Source organism: Homo sapiens, chromosome 13 (assembly GCF_000001405.40).
Source record: "Homo sapiens chromosome 13, GRCh38.p14 Primary Assembly".
In the NCBI taxonomy this organism is placed as follows: Eukaryota; Metazoa; Chordata; class Mammalia; order Primates; family Hominidae; genus Homo; species Homo sapiens.
The window spans coordinates 43,610,695-43,621,846 of record NC_000013.11 but is presented as its reverse complement, the minus strand read 5'-3'; the positions used below and the strand labels follow the sequence as shown (position 1 = coordinate 43,621,846).

At 36.5% G+C, this 11,152-nt stretch overlaps 1 protein-coding gene across 30 annotated transcripts in view; it reads left to right on the top strand.

Annotated features, from left to right (window-relative positions):
- Positions 1 to 11,152, top strand: part of ENOX1 (ecto-NOX disulfide-thiol exchanger 1) — a 573,843-nt gene that overhangs the window by 165,126 nt on the left and 397,565 nt on the right. The window lies entirely within an intron of this gene.

Genomic DNA, 11,152 nt, shown 5'->3' with positions numbered 1-11,152 from the left:
ACATATTCGGGGGAATAATTGAAGAAGACTTCCCTGGCCTTGCTAGAGACCTACACATCCAAAAACAAGAAGCACAAAGAACACCCAGGAAATTTATTGCAAACAGATATTCATCTAGGCACATTGTCATCAGGTTATCCAAAGTTAAGATGAAGGAACGAATCTTAAGAGCTGTGAGACAGGAGCACCAGGTAACCTATAAAGGAAAACCTATCAGATTAACAGCAGATTTCTCAGCAGAAACCTTACAAGCTAGACGGGATTGGGACCCTATCTTCAGCCTTCTCAAACAAAACAATTATCAGCCAAGAATTTTATATCCAGTGAAACTAAGCATTATATATGAAGGAAAGATACAGTCTTTTTCAGACAAACAAATGCTGAAATAATTTGCCATTACCAAACCACCACTACAGGAACTGCTAAAAGGACCTCTAAATCTTGAAACAAATTCTGGAAACACATCAAAACAGGACCTCTTTAAAGCATAAATCACACAGGACCTATAAAACAAAAATACAAGTTAAAAAGCAAAAAAACAAAACGAAACAAAGTACACAGGCAACAGATAGCATGATGAATTCAATGGTACCTCACATCTCAATACTAACATTGAATATAAATGGCCTAAATGCTCCACTTGAAAGAACCACAGAATGGATAAGAACTCACCAACCATCTGCTGCCTTCAGGAGACTCACCTCGCACATAAGGACTCACATAAACTTAAGTAAAGGAGTGGAAAAAGGCATTTCATGCAAATGGACACCAAAAACGAGCTGGGGTAGCAATTCTTACATAAGACAAAACAAACTTTAAAGCAACAACAGTTAAAAGAGACAGAGATGTTATATAATGGTAAAAGTCCTTGTTCAACAGGAAAATATCACAATCCTAAACATACATGCACCTAACACTGGAGCTCCCAAGTTTATAAAACTATGACTAATAGACCTAAGAAATGAGATAGACAACAACACAATAATAGTGTGGGACTTCAATACTCCACTGACAGCACTAGGCAGGTCATCAAGACAGAAAGTCAACAAAGAAACAATGGATTTAAACTATACCTTGGAATAAATGGACTTAACAGATATATACAGAAAAGTTCATCCGACAACCGCAGAATACACATTCTATTCAACAGTGCATGGAACTTTCTTCAAGGTAAACCATATGATAGGCCATAAAATGAGCCTTAATAAATTTAAGAAAATCGAAATTATATCAAGCACTCTGTCAGACCACAGTGGAATAAAACTGGAAATCAACTCCAAAAGGAACCTTCAAAACCATGCAAATACATGGAAATTAAATAACCAGCTCCTGAATGAGCATTGGGTCAGAAACAAAATCAAGATGGAAATTTAAAAATTCTTCAAACTGAACGACAGTAATGACACAACCTATCAAAACCTTTGGGATACAGCAAAAGCAGTGCTAAAAGGAAAGCATAACCCAAAACCCCTACATCAAAAAGACTGAAAGAGCACAAACTGACATTCTAAGGTCATACTTTAAGGAACTAGAGAAACAAGAACAAACCAAGCTCAAACCCAGCAGAAGAAAGGAAATAACCAAGATCAGAGCAGAATTAAATGAAATAGAAACCAAAAAAATATAAAAGATAAAGGAAAAAAAAGCCGGTTCTTTGAAAAGATAAATAAAGTTGATAGACCATTGGCAAGATTAATCAAGAAAAGAGAGAAAATCCAAATAACCTCACTAAGAAAGGAAACAGGAGATATTACAACTGACACCACAGAAATACAAAAGATCATTCAAGGCTACTGTGAACACCTTTACACACATAAACTAGAAAATTAGAAGAGATGGATAAATTCCTGGAAAAATACAACCCTCCTAGCTTAAATCAGGAAGAGTTAGATACCCTGAACAGACCAATAGCAAGCAGTGAGATTCAAATTGTAATTAAAAGATTACCAACAACAAAAAAGCCCAGGACCAGAGCGATTCACAGCAGAATTCTACCAGGCATTCAAAGAAGAATTGATACCCAATCCTTTTGACACTATTTCACAAGATAGAGAAAGAAGGAACCCTCCCTAATTCATTCTGTGAAGCCAGCATCACCCTAATACCAAAACCAAGAAAGAATATAGCCAAAAAAGAAAACTACAGACCGATATCCTTGATGAACATAGATGCCAAAATCCTTAACAAAATACCAGCTAACTGAATCCAACAACATATCGAAAAGATAATCCACCATCATCAAGTGGGTTTCATACCAGGGATGCAGGGATGGTTTAACATACACAAGTCAATAAATGTGATACACCACATAAACATAATTTAAGACAAAAATTACATGATCATTTAAATAGATGCAAAAAAAAGCATTTGAAAAAAATCCAGCACCCCTTTATGATTAGAATTCTCAGCAAAATCAGCATACAAGGGGCATACCTTAATGTAATAAAAGCCATCTAAGACGTACCCACAGCCAACATAACACTGAATGGGGAAAACTTGAAAGCATTCTCTCTGAGAATCTGACAAGATGAGAACAAGACAAGGATGCCCACTCTCACCACCACTCTTCAACATAGTACTGGAAGTCCTAGCCAGAGCAATCAGACAAGAGAAAGAAATAAAGGGCATCCAAATCAGTAAAGAAGAAGTCAAACTGTCACTGTTTGCTGATGATATGATTGTTTACCTTGAAAACCCTAAGGACTCCTCCAGAAAGGTTCTAGAACTGATAAAAGAATCCAGCGAAGTTTCCAGATACAAGATTAATATACACAAATCAGTAGTTCTTCCATACACCAACAGTGGCTAGAAAATCAAATCAAGAACTCAACCACTTTTACAATAGCTGCAAAAAAAAAAAAAAAAAAAATTTAGGACTATACCTAACCAAGGAGTTGAAAGACTTCTACAAGGAAAACTACAAAACATGGCTGAAAGAAATAATAGATGACACGAACAAATGGAAACACATTCCATGTTCATGGATGAGTAGAATCAATGTTGTGAATAATGACCATACTGCCAAAAGCAATCTACAAATTCAATGCAATTCCCATCAAAATACCACCATCATTCTTCACAGAATTAGAAAAAACAATTCTAGAATTCATATGGAACCAAAAAAAGAGCCCTCATAACCAAATCAAGACTAAGCAAAAAGAACAAATCTGGAGGCATCACACTATCTGATTTCAAACTATAAGGCCATAGTCACCAAAACAGTGTTGTACTGGTACAAAAATAGGCACATAGACCAATGAAACAGAATAGAGAACCCAGAAATAAACCCAAATACTTAACAGCCAACTGATCTTTGACAAGGCAAACAAAAACATAAAGTGGGGAAAGGACACCCTTTTCAACAAATGGTGCTGGGATAATTGGCTAGCCACATGTAGGAGAATGAAACTGGTTCCTCATCTCTCACCTTATACAAAACTCAAGATGGACTAAGGACTTAAACCTGATACCTGAAACTATAAAAATTCTACAAGATAACATTGGAAAAACCCTTCTAGACATTGGTTTAGGCAAGGATTTCATGACCAAAACTCAAAAGCAAATCAATAAAAACAAAGATAAATAGCTGGGACCTAATTAAACTGAAGAGCTTTTGCATGACAAAAGGAACAGTTAGCAAAGTAAACACACAAACCACAGAGTGGGAGAAAATCTTCACAGTCTATACATCTGACAAAGGACTTCACAGTCTATACATTCTGACAAATGTCCAGAATCTACAACGAACTCAACAATAAGAAAAAATCAGTCCCATCAAAAAGTGGGCTAAGGACATGAATAGACAATTCTCAAAAGAAGATATACAAATGGCCAAGAAACATGAAAAAATGCCTAACATCACTAATGAGCAGGGGAATGTAAATCAAAACCACAATGGGATACCAGCTCATTCCTGCAAGAATGGCCATAACAACAACAACAACAACAACAACAAACCAGTAGATGTTGACGTGGATGCAGTGAACAGGGAACACTTCTACACTTCTTGTGGGAATGTAAACTAGCATAGCTGCTATGGAAAACAGTGTGGAGATTCCTTAAAGAACTAGAAGTAGAACTACCATTTGATCCAGCAATCCCACTACTGGGTATCTACCCAGAGGAAAAGAAGTCATTATTTGAAAAAGACACTTGCACATGCATGTTTATAGTGGCACAATTCACAATTGCGAAATTGTGGAACCAGCCCAAATACCTGTCAGTCAACAAGTGGATAAAGAAACCGTGGTATATATAAACCATGGAATACTATGCAGCCATAAAAAGGAATAAATTAACAGCAACTCATCAAGCTGTGTGCTATTCTGTATGTGTATTTTACTTTAAAAGTTTAAAAAGTAAGCATATAAACAAAAACAGACTTTTTTGTCTCTCAAATTAGCAAATGATGTTTTAAAAGTGAAATTGTCTTTTGATTGTACTGTAAATTGATGAAACTCTTCAGAAGGCACACTGGTATTGTGTTCCAAAGTTTTATCCCGCAATTTTCATAACAGGGATTTGTCCTCAGGACAAAATAAGGAAAGAGCAAGAGGGAGCGTGCATAAGGATATCCATAGCAGCTTCATTTATAAAATGAAAATCAGAAACACACGGAATGCCCAGCATTGGCAGATTGTTTATATTGATAACCATACATACGGAATACATTCTAGCTCATGATGAGGCACAGCTACTTTAACTGTATGAAAAAGGTGTATCAGTGGTTTGGTGGGCAGGACAGCAATTTCTAGATCTCTCTCTCATACAGTTATGTATATGTTCATACATACACTCACATGTAACTCTCAAAACCACACTGTTAACATCTTACCTAAATAGTTTGAAATACTAGTCACTAAAATGTCACCAGAATTTATCTTTTTAATATGTGTATGTATGTATATGTGTGTGTGTGTGTTTACTTGTTTTACCTTTTGCATTCTTTAAAAAATGTAAGTAGATATGAGTTTCAAACCTGAGGAAAATAATAAAACAAAATTAAACAAAAATTCCTGAGGAACATTTTTGGATATTTCCTCTAGTACCTCCCCACCTCTGCAGTAGTTAGGTTTTTAAGTTAAAATAGGAGGAAAAGAAGAAGGGAAGAGAGAGAAATGTCAACAAACGATATATTTGTTAAATTTAATCATGTTAAATGATAACATGGAAAGAAGAGTAAGATATGAACCATATCATTACAAACAGTTTTTCTTACACATGAGCAGAATTATTCCTAGGTCATGTGTCAATTAAATTGTTATTTTCATTTGTAGTTTGAATGATAGTGATATAATTCTAAATGTTTCCCAGTGTATTGAAAGGATTTAAAAATATTATATGTCGGCTGGGTATGGTGGCTCGTGTCTGTAACCCCAGCACTTTGGGAGGCTGAGGCGGGAGGATCACCTGAGATCAGGAGTTTTAGACCAGCCTGGCCAACATGGCGAAACCCCATCTCTACTAAAAATACAAAAATTAACCAGGTGTGGTGGCGGCACCTGTACTCCCAGCTACTTGGGAGGCTGAGGTGGGAGGATTGCTTGAACCCAGGAGTTAGAGGTTCCAGTGAGCCGAGATCACACCACTGCACTCCAGCCTGGGCAACAGAGTAAGACTCCGTCCTAAAAAAAAAAAAAAAATATATATATATATATATAGATAGATAGATAGATAGATAGATAGATATCTATCTATATAGATATCTAGATAGATAGATATCTATAGATCTATAGATATCTATCTATATAGATATATATATATAATGTCAAACTTAAAGACACAAGCACACGTATGTTTATTGCAGCACTGTTCACAATAGCAAAGGCTTGGAACCAACCCAAATGCCTATCAGTGATAGACTGGATAAAGAAAATGTGGCACATATACACCCTGGAATACTATGCAGCCACAAAAAAAGGACGAGTTCATGTACTTTGCAGGGACATGGATGTAGCTGGAAACCATCATTCTCAGCAAACTAACACAGGAACAGAAAACTGAACACCGCATGTCCTCACTCATAAGTGGGAGTTGAACAAAGAGAACACATGGACACAGGGAGGGGAACATCACACACCAGGGCCTGTCGGGGGGTGAGGGGCTAGGGGAGGGATAGCATTAGGAGAAATGCCTGATGCATATGACGGATTGATGGGTGCAGCAAACCACCATAGCACGTGTATACCTATGTAACAAAACTGCACGTTCTATGCACATGTATCCCAGAACTTAAAGTATTATAATAATAATAATAAACTTAAGAAGAGTTTTCATGATTAATTAGATCAGGCATGGTTCCAGGTTTTGTGAAGTTTTAAGATTATGTAATTTTTGAGGCTGTCTGTAAGAAGAGAGAACAAAATTTTGAATGCAAAGTTAGTTCCTGGTCCTTGGAAGGGGCCTGTGTGGGCCCCGGAACTTAAGTTTCCATCATGCCATGCTGGATTCACCTGTTGAAATGTATGCGACACACATACATTTTGTTTACTTATGCCTTGCTCCGCCTCTTTTGGGGGGCGTTATTGCTCACTATTATTCCATTATGAAAACATACCTACTTGTCACTGATACAATTTAAAGCTCTTATGCAAACAGATTTATTAAAATACAAAGAATAAGAATAGGTATTTAAGCCTTACTGCTGAAGATTCCTTAAGCTCACTGATGTCTCAAGGCCCTATACATATAGTAATTGGATTTATTTATTCCTCTTATTTTAAAGAAAGTAAATTATTCAGTATTTAATGAATGTTATTTGTTTTCTCTGTAAATAGCCCTGTACATAAGAATCCTACCACTTCCCCATCCCCCACCAAATTCCACAGTCTTCTCTCAAAATATATTCAAATTTTATACCAAGGCTCCTCAAACTTTAATGTACATTCAGATCACCAAGAGATCTTGTTAAAATGCATGTTCTGATTCAGTAGTTCTGGGGTGGGGTCTAAGGTTCTGCATACTTAGCAAGTTCTCACATGATGCCTTGTTGCTGGTCCTCAGACCACATTTTGTATGTAGCAAGGCTCCAGAGTCCACATCCCGCATCATTCTAACTGTATTTAACATACCCTCATTGGAAATGGGGGGCTCCTCCCAGACCTACCACATGTAACTGGTAGGAAAATGTTCATTACAGCCTAGTGGCTCTTAGGGGCTGCTGGTGGGTCATTAGTCATGAATGTAGGTGTAGAAACTGGATTGGGACCCAGCTGATGACAGTGAGCAGGGAGAGAAGGAGGGAGGGAGAGGAAGACAGAGAAAGTGAGAACACAAGTAAGCAAGTGCTAAAAAAAAAAAAAAAAGCCCTTTATTTTGGGGAAATGTTTATGGGGAAAGTAGGCAGACTGTTTGCACTTTTAGCTTGAGGTCCAAAGCCAGGTGAGGAGGTAAGTGTGAGGTTCTTGCAGGAATCTAAGAGCTTAGAAAAAGAGCCTCAGAGTTGTTCAGTTCCTGATCACACAGATAGGGGTAACTTCATTCCAGGGTTCAGGGCATGCTGTGTGTAGTGACAACCCTTTCAGCAGGCAGCCTGTCCAATCTGTGGGATTTTCTTCTGAAACTGTCAACAGAAACTAACTGTATCCAGTGTTTTTTGTGTTTCTGATGCCACAATAGAGTCTTCCCATAGTAACCCTGATATGGTGCTCTGTATGCTGTCAAGCTAATGGCAGATTCCTGTTCCTGATGGGTGAGGACTGTTGAGAGGCTGATTTCCAATAAATGCTATTCCAGCAGCAACAGAGATAGGAGTTTTTATTGTCAAAGTAAACTAAGGAAAGCACCACATGCCCTGTTGCCCCACCTTTTATATTCTGCATTCCTAGGACAGCTGACACTTTTATTTTTCATTATTGTGGAATGAAATGGGTAAAATGAGATATACCTCCTTTATTTATTTATTTATTTTTTTTTTGAGAGAGTCTTATTTTGTAGCCCAAGCTGGAATGCAGTGGCATGATCTCGGCGGCTCACTGCAACCTCCGCCTCCGGGGCTCAAGCGATTATTGTGCCTCAGCCTCCCGAGTAGCTGGGACTACAGGCACCTACCACCATGCCCGGCTAATTTTTGGTATTTTAGTAGATTTAATCTTCTTACTACTTATAGGTCTGTTAAGACCTTCTATTTATGGTTCAGTCTTGGTAGGTTGTATGTTTCTAGGAATTAATCCATTTCTTTTGGATTATCTAATTTGTTGGCATATAATTTTTCATAGTAGCCTCTTATCCTTTTAATTTCTGTGGCATCAGTTATAATCCCTCCTCTTTCATTTCTGATTTGATTTGAGTTTTTTCTTGATCTAGCTAATGGTTTGTCAATTTTTTTGAACTTTTCAAATAAACAACTCTTAGTGTCCTTGATTGACCCATTTTAAAAATAGCTTTATTGGGATATAATTTACATACCATAAAATTCACTCATTTAAAGTGTACAGTTCAGCAGTACATAATTTTTTCATTTACGTTCAGGTTGTACAACCATCATTTTAGAACATTTTCACCATCCTAAAAGAAACCTTGTACCCAATAGTTGAGTCATTTTTAATTGTATAAATACAATAGACTTCCTAGAAACTGTTTTTGACTGTAATAAATATAATGAACTTTGGGAACCAATTTCTGACTGTAGTTAATATGATGAACTTTTGAAGATGGACTAGTAAACAATAAAATTTATTAAGGAGGTATGTATGTATTCTGTTAACTCATCTAAATTTGTTATCACTCAAATATAACACTCAAAATTTTTTATAATTGATAAAAATTGTATGTGTTTATCATGTACAACGTTTTAAAAAAATGTATACAATGTGAAATGGCTAAATTGAGCTAATAAACATGCATCTCTTCAAATGCCATCATCAAATATCAAATTTTTTGATCAGTTGGAACATTTTTATTACTCAGAAATATTTATTACAAAATGTAAAGCTTAATATTTATTTGCAACTGTGTATCAAATACATTTTGTTGATATGATGAAGTGAGTAAAGAAAAGTAAGAAAGGTAGTGATACATAAATGTTCATTATATTATGTTTATGGAGCAAAGTACTATGCTGAAGTGGAAGGCACAGATCATAATGCTTGCTACTGATTTATTTTGGGAACCATATCATGAAAATCTGCAAGAAAAATACTAAGAACAATTTATGAGAATGAGTTACCAGACTAACTTTTTGAAACAAGTTCTTGTGGAGGAAAAAGCATTAATTTTCAAGTTTACATTATAGGGAATTCTTGGATGTAAACTTTCTAGGAGCCCTGAAGTCTGCCTTTACTTTTCGCTTTTGGAAGGTACCCTGAATCCTGTTCCTAAGGTTTTTGCAAAAAAAATCGGACCTTTCTAGCTGATGACAAGTAGGCACCAACAAAGATGTTGCTTCTATTTATGTAGTCTTTTTGCCAATGAAAATTCAGTTCCCTTTTTGATCTTTCTCAATTATCAAGAAAAACTCTGTCTCTCAAATATGATACTCTCAAACTAGTGACTGAGAAAATATGAGGGTAATCCATACAGGGGGCATCTGTATTTTCATGACTAACAATTTCAACTGCTGTTAGCTGGGCTGGTCACTGTGAGATCTACTCTGTTGGCTCTTCCTAGCTGTAATACACACCATCTTATTCAAAAAGAGCTTGCCTGGCTCCTTCATCTGTTCTCTCTGACTGCTTTCCAGAGGTCAGCTTCCAGAGTAGTTGAAATGTTTTTCCTTTGGCTTCCCTTCCTATAGTCACCCCTCATCAACTCTACCCACAAAACAAATTACCAGGAACTCTTTAATAATATGCTATTAACATTCATATGTGAAGATGCCTGTTGACAGCAATTGGTTGGATATGAATGACTGTAAAAAACTGCTGAATTGCAACAAGGGAAAAAATGTGTTAACCCTGAATGTGATATCAGACTCTTGGAGAGCATTTAGGGAATCTGTGTTCATAAGGCCAGTGCATTAGCAGGCTAGAAAGCAATGTGAACTCATAGAAAAGAGCAAGGTACCATGCCAAGGGCAAGCCTAGGCCTCTCAGCCAAGCTCCCAGCTGCTGGGAGGTTTACTTGTTTTGCAAACTGTACAAGTAATTGGTTGTTAAGTCACATTCTGTGGTTTCTGGAAGTGTTGTATAATTTCACTTTACAAAAAAAGTATTGCCAGAATGCATTAGAAATAATGATTTAAGATTGAACTGGCTCTGTTGAAATTACCTAAATTACATGCTGCAACATTGTTTTTCCTAGATGGCCAAAATCACTGACTTAAGATATTTAAAATGTCAGAGATGTATATTCTTAATGGAGTTGAAGAATCAGCAGTACTTCAGGGAGTATTGTGGATCTTCATCATCATCTAAGTAGCCTTTTGAGACTACATGGGTCGTGACTTGATTTCTGTCATTATACATAAATCCAAAATGACGGATGCATTCTGACATCCAGACAGGGCTGAACCAAATGTGTGATGCAGTCGTGTTTGCCAGATCCTTGCTTCAAACCCTTCAGTATATATTTAACATTTAAATATGTACACCAAAGGATTGTTCTTTATACTATTGTAATTCTTAATGCCTAACAGATGGATTGATGGGTATATGTGTATGTCTGGGTGAGCAGAGCTGGATTAAGGGATGGCAGTTTCCCCGGGCACCTTGCATTGGAACATCAGTGGTATAAATGGGAAACATGACACCTGTTAACTTAGCTTTCCACATATAACACTTAGGCAATTTGCAAGCAAAATTTATTACAAGGCCCCCAAGGTGGGATAGGAGGGAGATAACAGTAAGAGTTGCTGCCATTATTGAACTATCTTTATTGAATGTTTTGATAATAATAACAAAAAATTATTGGCATTCCTGAACTCTCTCTATTGAATATTTTGCACAGTGTAACCACCACCATCCTATTTTAGAATTGCCTGAATTTGACAGGTCACTGTCAGTTGAAATTCTTACACTGAGTAGTATTTTACATAGGTATATTTATTGGCAATGAGCAATTTTATTTGTTTTTAATATTAAGTTTAAAAGTTGTTACTGTGCTTTCCAAGCATTTTCCTGGATCGGTAAGTCATAAAACTGAACTGAAAAAAAAAAAAAACTATGGGAAATGTTTTAACAACATGAAAGTAAATAAAAGAACTTTGAAATCTATT